The following is a 19,435-nucleotide window of genomic DNA, read 5'->3' as shown; positions in this document are numbered from 1 at the left end:
AGTCAGTTTTCTCAGGGCTTGGTGACCTCAAGAAAAGCTGATAATTAAGTTATCAGATCAAAATACCTGAGAGACTAGATCCTGAATTGTGTCAGTTTCCTCAGAACATGGCACACAGTAAAACAGTCAAGACAGCCAGATTATTATCATGTTTCTTTCAAAGTAGGCAAATGCAAAAGTATGCTGAAATGTTGGACAGCTCCCACACACAAAGATTAGGGCTCAAGTCAAATTCTGGGGTATTCTGGTAGCATTCCTTAATGTCAGTCTTCTCAATTAGTCTCTGTCTGGGGGGAGAGCGCCATCTCCTACTCAAGGAAGCATGGTTCTCAAGACATCCATCATGAGTTCTTGCTTTCCTGCCAGGCATGAACTTTTGGACACAATCAATGGTCATGGCCAAGTAGGGCCTACAGTAGTAGGATAAAGAACCAGAACTGTCCTATTTCCTAAATCCAGCAAAAATCGAGTTGGTAAGGCTGAGAAGGGGGCAGATGACTCCTCAGCTGGTCTTCAACCTGGCAATCTCATGGGGAGGGAGTCACATCCATACCAAGAGTTTAGTCACCACCTGAAGTGTTAGGGACATCAGGCAGGAGCTACACATCCTCCCGACCTCCCCAGAACTTTCCCTCAACAGGAATTTTTTCTATCCCTGGAACAACTTCTTTCTGTGACCTGGAGAAGGACTTAGCTCTAAGTAGAGAAACTGGTGTAATATGGTGGGGGACTCTGTAATTTTGACACCAAACAGCCTGAAGTGACTGATGATAGAACAGATGGTTAAGAAAGGAGCTTTAACAAACCAGTTTCTGGTTTTATTTTAATAATGTCCTAATTTTTTTTATTTTTCTTGAGATGAGTTCCACTCTTGTTGCCCAGGCTGGAGTACAGTGGCGCAATCTCGGCTTACTGCAATCTCCACCTCCTGGGTTCAAGCAACTCTCCTGCCTCAGCCTCCCGAGTAGCAGGGATTACAGGTGTGCACCACCACTCCCGGCTAAGTTTTTGTATTTTTAGTAGAGATGGGGTTTCATCATGTTGGCCAGGCTAGTCTCAAACTCCTGACCTCAGGTGACCTGCCCACCTTGGCTTCCAAAGTGCTGGGATTACAGGGGTGAGCCACTGCGCCTGGCTAATAACGTCCTAATATTTTACCTCATCAGGGTCTTCCAGTTAAAACATGCATGGTATTTCCAGAGAAAGGAAAAGTGGGAGCTATACAATCCCTATGACTAAACTGAAACTAGGGAAAGTAGCAGAATATAAAAAGGGCATGGAAGTACAACATGTGCAATAGGAAATAAAACAGAACACTGGATTTCTCAGGAGAGAAGCAACACATTATACAGAATCAACACTCCATGTAGGAAACAGAAGGGTTTCAAATCATCTTCTCACTTCTGGCCTACACAGTCTTCACAAGGATATCAATGAGTAAGATGCAATTGATCCTATTTGATTCTAGTTTTATGGAATGTATACCACATTTCATGATTGCAGTGGGGTGTGTTAAAACTATAACATGAATTCAAGGGCAGGGATGAGGCAGTATCTTACATTTGTCATTTTTAAATTCCAAAGCATGGCTGAAGTAGGTGCTTCATGTTTGCTGAGTGACCTGTCTTCTCCTCCCCTCAAATATCCATTCCAAACTCTTAGTATAGGTCAGGATTAAAAAAAAAAAAAAAAATTATCTGGGCCGGGTGCAGTGGTTCATGCCTGTAATCCCAGCACTTTGGGAGGCTGAGGCGGGTGGATCACCTGACGTCGGGAGTTCAAGACCAGCCTGATCAATGTGGAGAAACCCCATCTCTACTAAATTACAAAATTAGCCAGGCGTGGTGGTGCATGCCTGTAAACCCAGCTACTTGGGAGGCTGAGGCAGGAGAATCGCTTGAACCAGGGAGGTGGAGGCTGCAGTGAGATGAGATCGTACCACTGCACTCCAGCCTGGGCAACAAGAGCGAAACTCCATCTCAAAAAAAAAAAAAATTATCTGGTAACATTAGTCAGTGAGAATGAGTACTACGCTTCTCCTAAAATGTGACTTTAAAAGTATATTTTTGTCAAAAGGTATTGCTATAGCACTTAGATATAAATATAATAAATATGAACATACCTCTTTTATTCTTCTCCCTTAGTTATGGAGTAGTAACAGTTTCTGATTTTCCAAAATCATGAGATTAAAAAATTATACACATTCAATCTCTCTTAGGAATCTGGCACAAAGTATATGAGTGTGTGGTGGTGGTGGTGAAAGGCAGGGAATCAATTTCCACGTGTGGCCTAAGGAGGTCAAGGTGCAAAGTCTAGCATGATTTACGCAAGTTATTTCAATAAGAGAAGGAGAGGAGGAATGCCCGATGCTTTTAGTGGGATAGAGAGAACACAGACAGTTGTTACCCATTTACATCTGGCCCAATTTGGAGTCTGAGAATCTGATCTACAAATGCAAGACAGGATGCGTGCCTAGACGTTGCCAGGGCCTTCCAGAGAGACCATTTAGGCAATCTCATGATTACAGGATTCTGAAGGGATGGAAATAGAAAGGAGATAAACTGTGTGAAAATAGGCCAATTTCTTTTATTTATGTGGGGCTCTATAAAATGAATGTGGAATTCTATTGTTTAGAAAAAGAGTAGGGACTACCTCGGGGCAGGCAGACACAGCTGATAGAACTGGAGTAGGGATTTGAGAAAGCAAGCGGCAGTGACCCACAGACCATTTGTAGCCAATTGTCACCAACAAAGTCCTCTTCTCCCTATCACCACCACCAAACTGTTTCTTTTGTGGTGAGGCTGTAGGCAGTATTGGTCCAGCCACCACTATCACTTCCTTCCTGCTATTGTCTTTCCACTAGGACCAGACATACCAACTGACCACAGGCTGTACCTCAGTGGCAGACCCGACCTCCCCTGGGACTGATTGACTAAGCTTCCCTACAATCTGTTTGGATCTCTTTTTTTTTGGGATGGAGTCTCACTCTGTCGCCCAGGCTGGAGTGCAGTGGCACGAACTCGGCTCACTGCAAGCTCTGCCTTCCCGGTTCACACCATTCTCCTGCCTCAGCCTCCAGAGCAGCTGGGACTACAGGCGCCCACCACCACGCCTGGCTAATTTTTTTGTATTTTTAGTAGAGACGGGGTTTCACCATGTTAGCCAGGATGGTCTCAATCTGCAGACCTCGTGATCCGCCCGCCTCGGCCTCCCAAAGTGCTGGGATTACAGGCATGAGACTGCCCGGCCGTGGATCTCTTAAGTTCAGTAAGTACGTGGTGCGCACCCACTGAGTGTCAGGGAAATGCTGGGCACTGGTGACAGGCAGAATAGCCTGAAGGCCTTGCCATTCAGGAGCTCACAGCTGAACAGTGCAGGAAGACACATGCAACCATAACATGATATACTAGAGCTATAACAGCAGTTGATTCTTCCCTGTAATTATTTAAGCAATTACTCTCTTGGTAATTACTCTAATTGTTATTAAATTCAAAAAATTATAAAAATAGTATGTAGATTTAAAAAACACAGAGGTGCATAAAATTTAAAAGTTTCCTGTTACCAGGTATGTATATTCCTCAGACCTTTCTATATACATATTCAAACTATATATACCTATTTGTACAGTCATTTAAGAAAAACTGAATCAAAATAGAAATATTGTGAGTTTTTTTTTCTCCTCTAAAAATATGGTTAGTTTTCCATCCCTCATTCTCTTTGATGGTTGCATGGTATTCTTTGGTATCTGAGAAGGATTCATTCCTCTGCAAAGGTTCAGGAAAAGTTTTGGGCAAGAAGTGATGTGTAACCTAGTTTTGAAGGAAGAGTGGGAGTTCACTTAGTGGAAGCAAACCCAAAAGATGATGCTTCTGATGCATGCATAGGAAGGACTGAGTGGAAAGCGGCTCAGGGAGCGGGGAGAGCATGGGGCGCATAGGAGGGGGTGTGGAAATACACAGCTTCCTTGGGAACCATCAGGAGTCCAGGGGAGCTACACTGTTCTTCAAACTTTGGTCTGCATCAAAATCACTTGGGAATTTTTTGTTTGTTTTCAAGACAGTCTTGCTTTGTCGCCCAGGCTGGAGGGCAATGGTTCAGGCTCACTGCAGCCTCACACTCCTGGGCTCCAGCGTTCCTCCCGCCTCAGCTCCCCAAGTAGCTGGGACTTCAGGCACGCACCACTGTACCCAGATAATTTTAAGATTTTTTGTAGAGACAGGGTCTCACTATGTTGTCTAGGCTTGTCTTGAGCTCCTGGCCTCAAGTAATCGTCCCACCTCGGCTTCTCAAAGTGCTAGGATTACAGGCCTGAGCTACCACACACAGCTGGAAATTTCTTAAAACTGCAGCTTCTCCATCTCCTAACTCAATATTCTGATTCAACAGGTCAGTGACCCCAAAGTCTTTTCTCTTAACCACCACACTAGGCTGCCCCTCCTTATGTGATAGCGAGTATTCACACCATCCTTCATAAGACAAGCAAGGCAAACGAAGTCCGGAGAGTCTCCTGGCAGCAGAGTGGAGCATCCTGACATCCTTAGATTTTGCTGTCACTTAGCCATCTCATTTTTAGTTTTGTAGCACCCTCCTCTACACCAGCTCTTCACTTTGTAGTTTTATATCACCTTTCATCTGGGAAGTTCAAAGTATTCCCAACTCTGACCTGATGATTGGGCGATGGGAACAGCAATAACCTCATTTTACAGAAGGATACATAGAGGCACTGGGGAACCGACTTTCCTACCCTGATGAGTCACACCACAGCTCAGAACAGAATTCAAGCCTGCCTTTCATTCAGTTTCTGCTGTTATTGTCCTTTCCCTTGCATTGCACGGACTCCGGATCACTTTCTTATTAATCGAGGCAGTGTATGGAAAGCATCCTGCACAGCACCCAGCTCATGCAGAGACGAGTCATTTCTTTCCCTGACCACAACTAAACAGGGACTGCCTAGGGCTTTGGAGCCTAGCGGGTGTTTCTGGATGTTCTGCAAAACAGCCATCAGAAATTCTACATAGCCTTTTCTTCTTCGAGTGCCAAGAAAAACTTCAGAATGCCATCACACAGTGAAAGGTGAAATGGTGGCATTCCAAGGCTTGGCTTCTTTATCAATGTGGGATACATTGGTGCTGGAATTACGTGGCTATTATGAAAAAGCTGAGGTGGTGATGCTGTCTACCTGTCGGGCAGCAAGAATGAATAATAAACTGGGACTTCACCACACACAGAGGTGCTGAGCTGGAGCACAACTCTTCTCTGCGTCCAAGGGGATACAAAGAGAGAAGCAGGAGAGTTTTTCTGCCAAGGAGTGTCAGGGGCCACTTTTGGCTTTGGGTAAAGGTTTTCAAGCCAAGATCAACTCCACATACCTCAAGGAGGAAACCCCCTCTAGGGAAGAGGTTCCCAAAACTTAGGGTACACATAGGTGACTGGCCTATTACTAATGCAGATTCCTTGGGCCACCCTCAGAGAGGGACAGTTGTGGGCTGGGGCTTCAGAGTCTGCATTTTTCGCTGGCTTTCCTGGTGAGTCAGCAGCAGGACTACACTTGAGAACCCCGCTCTAGAGAACACACACACGATTTCCCCATTTACCAGCACTGTTCTTGTCACTGTTAATCAGTCAGTGGACTGACTATTAAGCTGAGTCAGGGCAAAGCATGAGTTTTACATTGCAGTTTTCCCTCATCTCCAGAAACTTCAGTCTCCTTTCTGGTTGGATTCCAGAATGTTGTGATGAGATAAAACAACTTGCAGAACAAATATAAAAAAATTTGCTGAAAAATTTCAATGATGAGTTGCAGCTATTAATGACCACTTAGCTAACTGGTTTCTTCTGCCAACATTTTTAAAAGCAGCTAAATGTATGCAGTGTTCTTGATGCTCTGATATACAAGTTGAAAAAAAACAAGCTAGAGACTAGGACAGATATTACCTCACACCATCACAGAATAATGAGATGCTGGAATGTCCTTGTATTTAAAAACTGTCAGGGAGGAGCCTCCCCTTCTAGCAGGTCAGGATGCTGGTCCCATGAAGACAATGGTATCACTTTGCTGTGGCTGCTCACAGTGGGCCAAGGGACACACCATGTAGCAATGGCTCTGGCAGTTAGAACCTGGCCTCCAGCAGGCCCGCCTGCTTAGGAGCTAGTGTTGTCTAGAGAGGTGGCCCCAGGAGAATGGGTTCTTTTTGTGTCCCCTACCTTGAACTTCATGCTTTAAACTAGAGCAAGTATTCAACAAACTTCTTTTTAAAGTGAAATTCATTAATTGGAGTCTCAGACCTTTGTGTTATGAAAAGAAGAGCTGAAGCAGAATTAAGCCATTAATTATCTGGCAAGTTTCCGAGGCATGCACCATAATTTCTCATAGTGTTTCACAAGCATGTAGGAGGTGGCTGCTTGCTGACACCTTTGTCTAATGCCTTGTCCTAGAAATGAGTCTGGGTGGTTAGGAACACAAACATTTCTGTCCTAATAAGATTCTTCTCTGATCCCTTTATTGATTGTCAGATCTCTTTTTGAAATTCTCCAACTTTGTATTCAACCCCTAGAAACTTTTTCTTTCTTTCTTTTTTTGTTTTTTGAGATGGAATTTTGCTCTTGTTTCCCAGGCTGGAGTGCAATGGCGCGATCTCGGCTCACTGCAACCTCCGCCTCCCAGGTTCAAGCAATTCTCCTGTCTCAGCCTCCCGAGTAGCTGGGATTACAGGTGCCTGCCACCATGCCCAGCTATTTTTTTGTATTTTTAGTAGAAACAGGGTTTCACTATGTTGGCCAGGCTGGTCTTGAACTCCTGACCTCAGGTGATCCACCTGCCTCAGCCTCCCAAAGTGCTGGGATTAAAAGCGTGAGCCACCGCGCCCAGCCAGACTTTTCAAAACAGGCATAAATATTTTCTAGTGGATAATTTTAATGCTGAGAGTTAATTCTCTTCCTCAGTCGCAACTCTACCTCTTTGAACTCAGCATGTCTTTCATCTGTAAATATGAAAATAAACATTAATAATTAATGCTTTTTCATCCTCTTCAAGGAGGAAATTTTTTATTTTTTTATTCCCACATTACACTGATATACAAGGAGGAAATTTTATTTACTTCTGAGGAAGAAATCATTTTTTCCAGAGCTAGAGAGATAGGCAGGAGCAGAATGGGAACTTGGCTTTTGATGGTCTTGATGTGAAGCCAAACCGCTTCAAGTAATTCCGTCTGACTTCAAGGGTAGCTATTACCGGGGCACTCCCTCCTGAGTTCTTACCTCTAGGTGGAAACTCTTTCACACGGTGGCTCCTCAGCTTCCCACTCTCCCTCCAACCAACACTCCACAAGCACCATTTCCATCTTCCATAGCATCTCCCACAGCCCTCTCACTCTCCATTCAAACAAGCATGCCCCATTACCTCTAATCCCCATACCATGTCTACTGCTGTGATTCATCCTCTGGATCTTCTCCAGTGGCCGGTGTCTCCACAGGCACCAGTGCTATGATTGATGGCTGCACGGAATACCCTTACTGGCCCAAACCAAAGGCCCATCCAGCTTAGTCTGCCTGAGAAGGACCAAAGGTGAGTGCTGTAGAAGACCCTCCCCCACGCTCTCACCTCGAAAACTTACAGGGAGAACCTCATCTTGCCTAGCTCACATTCATACCCCCATCTTTCTGTTGCAGCTGACGTAGCTTTCCATGTTTTCTGCCTGAGAGAACCTGTGCAGGTAATACATTCCATGGATACCACTTCTGTATAAAGAAGTGTTTCCTTTGATACTGCTTTTCTCAAGATTCAGGGAGTAGCATCTAATTTGAACATACCCATACCATTTAGGCTTACAGACTATGGTAGGTTCTCAAAGATGTCCGTGTCCTAATCCCTGGAACATATAAATATGTCATCTTAAATGGCAAAAGGGACTTTGCAGATGTGATTAAGGTTTCTGTGATGGGAAGATTATCCTGGATTATCTGAGTGGGCCCAGTGTAATCACCAGGGTCCTTATAAGGGGAAGCAGAAGGGTCAGTCAGAGAACAGTGATGATGGAAGCAGAGTGATGCGCTGCCAGGAGCCAGTGAATGTGGGCAGCCTTTAGAGGATGGAGGAGGCAAAGACGCGGATTTTCTCCTGGAGGCTCCAGAAGAAACACAGCCTTGCCAACACCTTGATTTTGGCACACTGGATTAGTTTCCTGTGCCTACTGTGACAAATGACCACAAACTGGGTGGCTGAAAACAACAAAGGTCATTCTCTCACTGGTCTGGAGGCCAGAAGTCCAGCATCACAGCATCGGTAGGGCTGCCCTCCCTCTGAAGGCTCTTGGGGGAATCTGCTCCCTGCCTCTCTTCCAGCTTCTGGTGGCTTCAGGTCACTCCAATCTCTGCTTCTGTGGCCACACTGTCTCTTCTCTCTCAACACCCCTCTGTCCTCCTGCTTATAAAGATACATATGATTGCATTTAGGGCCCACCCAGATAATCCAGGATAAACCTCTCTCTCAAGATCCTTAACTTAATTAACACTTATTGCCATATAAGGTAATACCTATTCTTTTGTCCTATAAAGGAATATTTACCAGTTCTGGGGGATTAGAACTCTCACAGTAATTTGTTAGGCAGCAGTAAGAAATGAATACCTGGCTGATTAGGTCTCCTCTCACTGGGACTTCCTAGGCTGCTCTCTCATTCTCCAGGGGTTGCTCTGAGTTATGGTGGTTGCCCTGTGGCCATGGCAGTATGGTACAGCACTGGTCTGGGCCACACCTGAGCAAGTGGGGAGGGTCTCCAGGGCCTGCTTCTGCCACATTACTGCTATAGGAATAGCTTCACCAACTCAGATCTATGCTGCCAGAATGCTCTCTGGCTAAGTCTTTGCACATGGAGAAATGAGATGCACAGAACAGAATTTGGAATGAGAATATTGTGAATTATCTCAGGAGCTGGGAAGATGGCCCAGGTAGGATTCTGCCTGACTTGAGGAAAGGCCAACATCCTTCCCCAAAAGGGAAGAAGAGTTTCAACAGCACATGTCTTAACAATCTCTCTCAGGGCCGAAGCACCATCTACCTAAACGGTACTAAGCAAATGATATTGAGGCTAAAGAAAAAGGAAGAATTCAGGACCTAGGGATGTCCCTTCTACTCCTTCCCAAATGCTGCAGTAAACTCAGGCAGTTCAGCCAATGATCTTGGGCATTTAGACACCTGTGGGTAAGTTTAGCTAAGGCAGAGTTTCATTTTGATCTTAAACAAGTCATTGCCCCTATGTTTCAGCTCTCCACTGGCACAGTGAAAGCATCTCCTAGGGGTGAGTTCAAAACAGTTCCCTGACATGTCTTGGAAATAGTGCTACTGGGGACAAAATCAAAACTAATGTTACCTGGGGCAATGGGAAGTGCGTTCTGCATGTAATTTACACTGGAACTTGATATGACTACTGTAAAAACTATAAATGAATATGATCCTTAGTTAAAAGATTTATGTGCGACTGGAAGAAAATGGAGTAATATGTTCACCACAGTGAAAAGCAATGGTGGCAACGAGCTTTCTGTATGGAGGGGCTTAGGGTTGGTAATCTGGTGGGAAGAGGGAGCTAGAAGAAAGTCTTGAAGCTGCATATGCAGAAGAAGGACACATTTGTATTTGGAGCATATGTTTCCTTGGGGCAGCTTTCAGGAAGAGGGCAGTGCTAAAGCCCACCCAAACCACCCCCTGGTGCCACTGCTGTCTGAGTGGTAGAATTAAAAGTAGTTCTAATTTTCTCACTTACTCTTTACTATCTTTTCCAATTTTTCTACAAATGAAAAATAGTTAGATTCCATGTTTAAAAAAAATAATATGTTAGTATGTGTGTAGAAAAAAGTTGGAATATTCAACAAAATAGTGGCAGTGATTCTCTTTGGGGGACAGAGTTATGGAGGACTTCTACTTTTTGCATTGTGCATTTCTGCAATGTTTTAATTCATAAATATTTAATTCTAAAAGCAATTTTGAATTATATTTGTCATCCAGCAAGGGGTTTTTGATTATGACTATACACTAAAGGCATTAAACACATAACACTCTTACAAGTTTCTCTGAAAATATGGGCAAGGTCGTAATGATTTTGAGAATAATATATAAATATATTTAAATTCATGGGAAAGCTAATGCATGGACACAAACATTATTAGGGTGAGGGTGAGACAAGTGATGCAAAAATTCTCGAGTGTTCTTCAGAGGAATAACTGTGGACTTGGCAGTCATCTGAGGAAGTTCTTTCCAAACCTCACATCCCCAACAAGGGGAAGGGACGGGGTGAGGGGCAGCTGCTACCCAGGGACACCTGGAGTCAAAGGCTTCTCAGTTGTTTCTCTTTGCTTGCCTTGGGCCTTCAATGGGTATCTTGGGAAGCTTCTTAAGGAAGCTGACAGGCAGCCTCTTTGGAATTAGAAAAGGCTGTCAATTCCAGAAAACCAAGCTGAAAGGAATATATAAGATCTTTTAGCTAACAGCTCTGGGAGCTTTAAAACAACTAGTTATTTCCTAATGCCTCCCAAAGAGGTCATCTGCTCTAGGTGGCAAGCAACATAATTTCCACAGAACAGCTAGATACTGGGAGAACCATCTGAGTTCAAATGATGAATTTTAAAGATAAAGGTACAAATGGGATCTTCTTAAGTACCCTTGACAGGGCCTGCATTATCACTGAGTTCTCAATACCCTTCGAGAGGGCCTCAGAGGCATGAGTCCTCTTGTGTTATGACCTCCTAACACATCCTGGGACAGCCACGAGGCCAGAGCAGTGCCTTGCTGGGTCCTGAAAAATCAAGCCTTCCAGGCCAGGAGAAGTTCAATCAGAGGCTTGCATGTCTGAGAAGCCACAGGGGAAGCAGAGCAGTACTTGGGGAGAGTTGCTAGGCAGGGTTGGGGGTGCTGCATGGAGAAAAGGAGTTCTGGAGCCTAAGCTTGGAACCCAGTGGGCTCCTGGAAGATCTAGTCATCCATACCTAGGAGAGTGGGAAATGCACCCTTCGGAAAGGCTCCACTACACATTTGATTTTTAATTTATGCAAGCACAGATTATGTGGTGGGTTCCGTCTCTGAATGTCTATCTCTGTCTCTGTCTTACTGGAAGCTTAACTCTGCCCAAGTGAGGCTTTATTGAACAGGATAGTGGTAGCGGTAGTGGGATCTTCCTCTCATGTCTTTCCATTTCCCTCTGACAGGAGCTGGGTTGGGCCTTCCTAATTTTCAATGCTACTCCAAATCTTGAGAGTCTCTGAGTTTTGACTTTGAGAAGTCCAAAACATTGCTTTTGCTGGCACTCTTGTCCATTAGGGACAAATGTGAGGGCTTTTTCGTTAGTTACTATGGTCACTATATACTCACTCCTAGGTACCATTTCATAGCATTAAGGATGGACAGCAACAAATATGCCTTAGAAATCCATTCATTCTGCAATTATTTGTTGAGCCCCAGATACTGCTAGGTCTCACATGGTCCCTGCCTCATGAAGCTAGTTATCTAGTGAAATGGATAAACAGTAGTAAAATAATCATTCTACCTAATTATAGGCCAAGGGCTAATTATTCTCAGGTAGGCTGACTAGGTGGAAAGAGAAAAGAACAGTGGCAGGAGGCTGTGTTTATAGAGAGTCCATTTAATTCCACAGGCAACACAATGCACTTTTGCTCCTGCCCCACCTGGCTTGAGGCCTGTACTGCAAGCTGTTTGTTCCTTCCTGGTAGGGACTGGCAGGGAGCCATACTTCTGCTTAGGTCCTGGCTTTCATGAAACGGGACTACAAAATGTCCAGGCAAGGTAATGTCAGTGTAAGGCCCTGGAAAGAAAGCAGCCCTAGCTTTTCCGTTTCCACAGGTTGACTCCTGCACCTGACTTTCCACATATTCCCACCTAGTTAAGTCCCCTGCTATCAGCCCCTGTGGCTGCTTTGCATGGTGAGCTGTGTAAATGGCTTCAGTTGTGCAGCATGAAAGTAATGTGAATCCAGCAGGTGGAATAAAGACCACAACCCAGGGTGTTAGACAGGGTCAGAGTCAAAGTGAATGATCTAGGAGGACATGAGAAAGAGAGGGGTCAGAGGAGGAAAGGACTTTAGGCCAAGTTTCATAATAGGCAAGAGAGAAACAGGGCTGTTATAAACAGTTGTACACTTTGTACACTGCACAAAGCACCTTGTGGAGGAGATGAGGGCTGGAACCCTCACAAAATGAGTAGAACCCAAGCTCCACTCACAAAACTGCATTCCTAGCAAGGGACTCTATCTGTCTGGAGGAAGAACCTTCACTCACAGAGGCCAGAGAGGCATGGCTCAGTAGGGATCTGCTCAGAGAGTTGGAAACCACCAGACTCACGCAACAGCACATCTAAGAGTCGACTGTCAAGCCTGGGAAGATGGGCCTCCTTGGATTTTGAACACTACTGGAGTGTAGGTGGAGGAGGGCTGCTGGCTGGGTGCCACTCTTTTGTGACAAGCTGAGACCACAGAAGCCACTGGCTGACACGTGGAGGCTCCTTAGAGGCCCAGCACCTTTTCAAGGTAGGCTCCATGATCCAGCTCCATCTTCATTTCTCCTTCATCCATCTCAGCAATCCAGCCACACCCGGAAGGCACAGCTCGACTCCTGAGATTTCAAATATTCCTTTAAGAAATGTTAGTGGTTACACGTCTGTGTTAGAAACGTAAACATTATACAAAGATGAACAAAAGTAAAAGAAGCCTCTGCCAAATTTTAATATGAAAATCTTCCTCTGTCAGTGGCCTCCTTACTGCTCATCCCTCATATTCTAAACCTGTTTTCCGTTCCCACTGGCCCCTGTAATTCCTCTGCCTCCTCATTCTGGCTGACAACCAGCGCCTGTCTTCAACTTGTGGCCCTTCCTCTACCTCCGGCCTTAGGGCCAGCTACTTCACTGCATCTTAAGTTTTGACTCCTCAGAAACCTTGCCCTGAACATGCCAAGCAACACCCATTCCTGGTGCCCGTCCCCACTCACTGCTGCTTCTCTGGCCAGAGGACTTTAAAGACTCAGCCCATTATGAATTCATAGGTCCAATGCAGCATTCACAATAAGACCTTTATTCATCTCTCATATGCCCAGACTTATTTCTCACTGTGGGTAATTCAGACCTTCAAGAACTCAATTCCCCACCAACCCTCTCCCTCCCCCACCTCAGCAAGTGGCCTTGGCTCTATTTTACTAAAGAAAGAAAGGTCTTTTCTTAGGAGGAACCCCAGTAATCTATCCTGGACTTCACCCTAAAAGTCAGGGGTAGAAAGAGCCATGCCCTCTTCTCTTCAAAGGAACCTTTCCCTGGGATCCTAAAGATCATTCCTTTTTGCTTTATTTCTCTCTTGTCTGTGTACTATTTTCTTTGGATAACTCCTTTTCCCTTCTGCCATTAAACATGCTCAGACCTCCTTCTTATAAAAAATGATTCTTCGTCAATACCAAACTTTTACTCTAATTGAAAGTTGGTTAGATCACCATGAAGAACGTTGTATAAAAAGCTTATTTAAAAAATCGTACCCTTTGCACCTCTGTAATTCACTTTATGGAATATACCATGAATAAATAATCCACAAAAGAAAAAAATGTCACTTGTACAGTAATGTTCAAATCAGAGATATTTACACTTGCAAAATACTCCAACTGCCCAACAACAGATTGAGGTTAAGCATACTGGTATCAATATGATGGGATACCACCAAAGGAATGAAATATGTGAAGTTACAAATATATGGATTATGTCAATATAGAGAAGTCTGCAGATGAAGCACATTTTAATACACAAAATATATTTTAAGAACCACATACTACAATTTTATATGTTTGCTGATAAAGAATAGAATTATTTTACAAAAATAAAATATTTGATTCGATTGCTTCTTCTGGTTACTACTTTCTTTCCCTCCCTGCTGCCATTCTCTGGTGACCAGCCATTGCTTCTATTTTTCTCTGTCAATTTTCCCCTTAAACCACTCCAGTGTTTTACTGAATGGATACCCTAAGCAATCATCATGACTGCCTTCTAGTTAAATCCTTAAATCTAGTTAAATCAGCAGCACTGAAACTCTCTTCCAGACATTTTCTCTTCCCTTGCTGCTGAATCATCCTAATTTCCCACCATCTTGTTCCTTTTTTCCTAACTATGGACAGTTCTCAAAGCTTATTACTTGGGGCTCTGGTCTTTGTACTCTGCATGCAAGACCTCTGGAGAGATTCCTTTGAGGGAATCCAGCCCTCCTCTGTGCTGCTGACTCCCACTCTACAGCTCCATCCACAACCTGACCCTCAGCTTCCGGTTCTATGAGATCACTCAACTTGGATGTCCTGCAACCCACAGTCACGTTGTTTTTAGCTCTCTGTGTCTAAAAAGCAACTCCTTTCCAAACTGTCTCTTCAAACTTCCTAATTTCTGGTTAATGTCACCAATATTCTCCAAACTCAAAACCAGCACACATCCTCAGTCTGGTAAGGCTGCCCTGCCTACAAACCCCACCACACCCCTTCCCACGGCCATTCCTTTGCTGATGCTGTACCTTGCCTCCTGAAAAGCCCTCTCTGGTGTTCTGTCAACTCACAGCCTGCTCATCCTTGAGACAAGGTCAGGTTCTGCTTCCTTTGTGAAGTCTTGTCTTTTTTTAATAGAGATTGGCCCTTACTCTGCCACCCAGGCTGGAGTGCAATGGCATGATCATAGTTCACTGCAGCCTCAAACTCCTGGGCTCAAGCCATCCTCCTGCCTTGGCTTCCCTAGTAGCTGGGACTATAGGTATATGCCACCATGCCCGGCTAATTTAAAAACAATTTTTGTAGATGGGGTCTCGCTATGTTGCTGAGGCTGGTCTTGAACTCCTGGCCTCAAGTGATCCTCCCCCCTTGGCCTCCCAAAGTGTTGGTATGACAGGCGTGAGCCATTGCACCTAGACTGAAGTCTTTTCTGATTACTCCAGTTCACAATGATTATTTTCCTCTCAGCATCCTTTTGGAATTTAGACTCTGTAGTACCAGTGACACCCAATGCACTGTTCTTTTCATTTCTTTTGCCTCTCTTCCTCAGCTGTCCTCTGATGAGTCTCCACATCAACCTGCACACCCAGCTCCAGTGTGTCTTCATCTCTGAAGTCTTTCTGGTTCTCACAGGCTCAGGGTGACTCTTCCTTCTGGCTTACCAAAGCACCCTTTCCCATAGCTGATAAGGTTCCATCCCCTCATGTTACAGTGACATACAGTTTTGTGTCCAACTCTTTTGCCAGAATATTAGCTGAATTCCTTAAGGGCTGACACTGTGTCTTATAGAATAAGGCACCAAAGATGTGTTTCTGACATGCAATATTGTCATATGCACTAATCATTCCATATATCCATCTTGTCTTCCACACACATTACAGCCTCCTCATGGACAAGGGTTGAGTCTCATTTCCTTTATATCCCATAGTGACTAACAATACAAAACAGAGAAAGGGCTTGATGAAGAATACGTGCTGAGAGCATGCTTACATGTCTTGTGAAGATGATATGCAAATTTATATGAATAATCTGTAAACCTGGGAACTATACTTTTGGGGTAATAGAAGTCTTATCAAGTTGTCTCAAGACACTGTACCTTGCTATTTTGGGGCCAGCATAACACATCTCTGTACTTAGCAGTGATCCTGTCACTTAAGAGTGTTAATAGGATGCCTAAACTGAGAGCTTTCAGCTATGAGCTCTAAGCATCTAAAATCAGAACAAATCAAGGACCAAATCAGAGTCCCAGGTAAGTGTCAATAACCTTCAGGGAAGCGGGTGGGGGTGGAGGGTGGCTGGCTGCCAAGAGTCTGGTGCTGCGGAAAGGCCTGGCTACACAGCACACATTATGCCACTGGAGATAAGCCTGCGTGAAACACTCCTCACATGGGAAAGGTATCTAATTTCATCTAGTGGTCTAAGACCTGCCCCTTTCACATGGCAACACACACCTTAGACCCAACTATGATCTTGCTGACTCAGAAGCAGTTAAGATTTCATTTCTTACCAGTCAGAGAACACCATATAAATTACAAGGTGACCAGGACCACAATGCCCTCAAGATAAGATGACTGTTTCTCCCACAATCACTCTCTCCGAGTGGTGGAGTCTCTCCAGCCAGCCATACCCAAAGACTTGCTCACTAATAATTCCAGCAGCAGGGAAGGCCTCCACCCCATCTAGGACAAGTATTTGGGTAGCCAGACCATTTGGAGGAAGAGGCAGATCCTGCTTAGCAAACATTTATCACAGCACAGTTCGAGCTATGTGACAGGCCATATGTTCTTCAACTCGAAGTCCCGGATCCTCAGGAGGAGGCCAAAGTGCCCCTTTCTCAGTGCTCAGAGCTGGGCAGACTCCACCACTGGTTGAAGGCAGGTATCAGTCCACTGGACTGGGCCATCTAGGCAATGTACAGTGTGTGTGTGTGGATGGGAAAGATGAGGCCAGAGGACAGCTGCCCGGCCAGGCCCTACCAACACAGTCAGCAGCTCCATGGACCTGGTGTGGCACAGGGGGAGTGGCCTAGCCTATGTCTACATAGGGCTCTGCCCATCGGGTGGCCACAGGTGGGCACCCAACCCTCTCTATCCCTGGAAGGAAAAAGGGCCTCTGAGCTCATGGCTGAACGGAAGGTGACAAAGGGCAAAGGGAGGAAGGCAACTGTAGTGGGCCTGGGCAGAGTCTTTTGAAACAGACAATTCAGACAGGTGCACATCCACACCAAAAAATGAGCAAAACCCTCAAAAAAGGCCCCTGGAACACTGGAGAACTGGGAATACAGAGAATCTGAAAAGACACCTGGGAAAAGAAGGCCACCCAAAACAGAGCCCTGTGGTATACAAGGTTTTACTAAAACCTTCCGATACATGTAAACAGTAAAAGGAAGAGGCAAAGAAGACTCTAAAGATTGCTCTACTACATGGAATCTAGAAGTCACTGGTTTTAAAATGTCATAATTAAGTTATAGTTGCTTAATGCAGAAAAGCTTAGAAAACACCAACAAGCACTAAGGAAAGCCATTCGTTTTTAATCCCATTACTCAATCACTTATGACTTGGCACATGCTCTTCTAGTATCTTTTTCATGTTTTTCTTTATAAATATGGTTTTTTCCTTGGCATACTATTTTTCATCCTGCTTTTTTCACTGATATTAAAAGTTCTGGTATTAATATTCTTCTCCAAATGTTTTTAATGCCATGCAGTATTTTATTTGGGCGAGCCTGACCAATCCTCAGTTGCTGGCACTTTTGGTTGTTTTCAATGTTTGATATTACTAGTAATGTTGCATTAATAAATCTTTTACAATTATTTCTGTACACACCTCTGATTTTCTAAATATTGCTAGAATGGCACTTTCTGGTCTAAGGATATACATCCTTTTAAGCTTTTTTATATATAGTCAAGCTACAAGGCAGATTTGAAGCCATGCTTCTTGCTCAGTTATTTTAAATGTATCACACAAGTGGTATGTATCTCCTATATCTAGGAAATAGTTTCAGGGAAAAAATCATTTTGCATGGAGTTAAAGCATTTTAGATAGGACAAGTCCTTATTTACTTGAGGCAAATGAAGCATCCAGAGCCTAAAACACTGACGTTATGCTAAAAAGTTGACTAACAACATCTGGTCAGTTTAGCAAAGCTGGTAGGGCATGGTGCTAGTGAGTGCAAGATCTAGGCTTATGCTAGTATTGGCCAGTCAACTCTGTGCACAAGAAAAACCATCCGTGGCCACAGCATGCTTCACGAAACTTGGCTAACTGTCACACGAAATTGTACTCTTGGCCAAAGGGAAGACTGGGTGATGGAATGTGAATTACTCAGCATAACCCATCCTAACTCCTGGGTAAGCAACCCAAAGCACATGTCCAAATGATAGGTGTGTCATCTTTCTATAATAAACATGACATCTGGCTAGAAAATACAGCTGGCCAACTTACGACAAAATTAAAAGCTGAACAATCCTTAAGGATTTTATCAGAGTTTACCAGTAATTCCTACCAGAAGCAGTTAATCAGTCATTATGTGAAAGATGTGCTGTACCAGCCAGGTCTGACCTAGAACTTAGCTACACAGTGTGCCAGCATTTCAGCTTGGGTCCCTTTAAACTTCAAGCCCTCTTGACATTAACTAAGAGGCAGGAATTTTTCATGAAGGTCATATAGTCAGATGCCATTTTCATCAATAGCTGAAAATTAGCTTATTAGAATAATTATGATTATTTTAGCTGGTCAACAGATGGAGGGGACTATTCTCAAGAGGGGAGTGAAAAGACTAGGAAGAGTTGATGGGGTAGGTGGTCAGTTAAGTACCCTGGGCTGACCGGGAAGCAGCCACTTTGGAGGGTCCTGCCCTCACTTAAGAGCTTGATTTGGTGCAAACTGCCTGGGCCTGCTTGAAGCTGTCAAACCCTATTTGCCCCAGGCATGGGAGGCTCCAAGTAAAGGCAGCTGCTTCTTTTGTACCAAAATGTATTTACTGAACAACAATCACTACCCATTCTATTTGGTCTTCATTAAATGACTAAAGCATACATGCTTCTTATAACAAGTCAAATACAAAAACATATAAAGTAAAAGTTCCCCTTTGAGTCTCCTTTTCCCTTCCCCACACCCAAATCCCACCTCCCAGAGGTAAACATTATTGCGTTTCTTTTCAATCTTTAGATGTCTATACATGGGTATTTCCTTCCCTACTGAAATTTATCTAGGAATTTAAATTCACTTTTGCTCTTGCACCTGAACAGCTTGCCCTGGTTCTTTAATTACTCAGTAGTTTCTGCCTTGAGCCAGTCTGTAATTCTCTCCATCCAAAATGACCTCCCTTTACCTCTGCTCACTGGCAAGGTTTCCCTCTTAAGATGAATAGCTCCTTTCCCTTGCCCCCTGGATCTCACGGATGCAGAAGCTGATTTTAGCAAAGTCACCGATGAAATCTATGCCTCTACCAGTTGAGGAAGTCAATAAAGACCACATGTGTGTCCCTCACAAGCAAGAGCTCAGCAGCTTTTCTATTTCAAATGAAGACCACTCCCCAGACTGGCCTCCCTGCTGGAGAACTAGCCACCCCCACCACACACCCAAGCACACCACATCTGTGCCTCCTAAAGTCAAATGCTCCTGTCCTGCCAGTCTTTCAGGTTGGCTGAATACATGGAGCAAAGATACATTTCATATACTCCGGTTTTGGCAGTTGAAATAATAATGCAAGTGCCGGGTCTTCCCGGTACAAACCTTTTCTCTGTTCGTGTCAAATACCGAGAGGGGTGCTGAGAGATGGGGGCTACAAAACTGAGAGTCCAAGATGGACCTAAATCACGAAACAATTTTGAAACCATTATTTGCTATTTTATGCTTTAGTCAATATAAAATAATCATTGCTATTTCTTATGAAGCAAGCACTCTACATACTCCCTTTCATTTAATCTTCA

General features: G+C 44.2%; 1 protein-coding gene and 1 long non-coding RNA gene across 3 annotated transcripts in view, besides 1 other annotated feature; one reads left to right on the top strand and one right to left on the bottom strand.

Moving 5' to 3' along the window:
• The window catches only part of MAPRE3-AS1 (MAPRE3 antisense RNA 1), a 29,817-nt gene extending 20,364 nt beyond the window's left edge, over positions 1-9,453 (top strand). The window contains exons 4-6 of the long non-coding RNA NR_149018.1: positions 7,455-7,564; positions 7,669-7,712; positions 9,260-9,453. This is a non-coding gene — a long non-coding RNA (MAPRE3 antisense RNA 1). The remainder of the gene's footprint in view (positions 1-7,454; positions 7,565-7,668; positions 7,713-9,259) is intronic.
• Positions 1-19,435, bottom strand: part of MAPRE3 (microtubule associated protein RP/EB family member 3) — a 56,583-nt gene that overhangs the window by 32,995 nt on the left and 4,153 nt on the right. The gene's annotated exons all lie outside the window — the stretch shown is intronic.
• Positions 11,579-11,638: an enhancer, noted in NCBI's record as "active region_15481". NCBI's record gives its function as "activates an Ori minimal core promoter by ATAC-STARR-seq in GM12878 lymphoblastoid cells {active_cell/tissue: GM12878}" and the evidence as "EXISTENCE:reporter gene assay evidence [ECO:0000049][PMID:35858748]".

The sequence above is a fragment of the Homo sapiens genome, chromosome 2 (genome assembly GCF_000001405.40).
Source record: "Homo sapiens chromosome 2, GRCh38.p14 Primary Assembly".
Taxonomy (NCBI): domain Eukaryota; kingdom Metazoa; phylum Chordata; class Mammalia; order Primates; family Hominidae; genus Homo; species Homo sapiens.
This window is presented reverse-complemented; position numbering and strand designations above follow the sequence as displayed.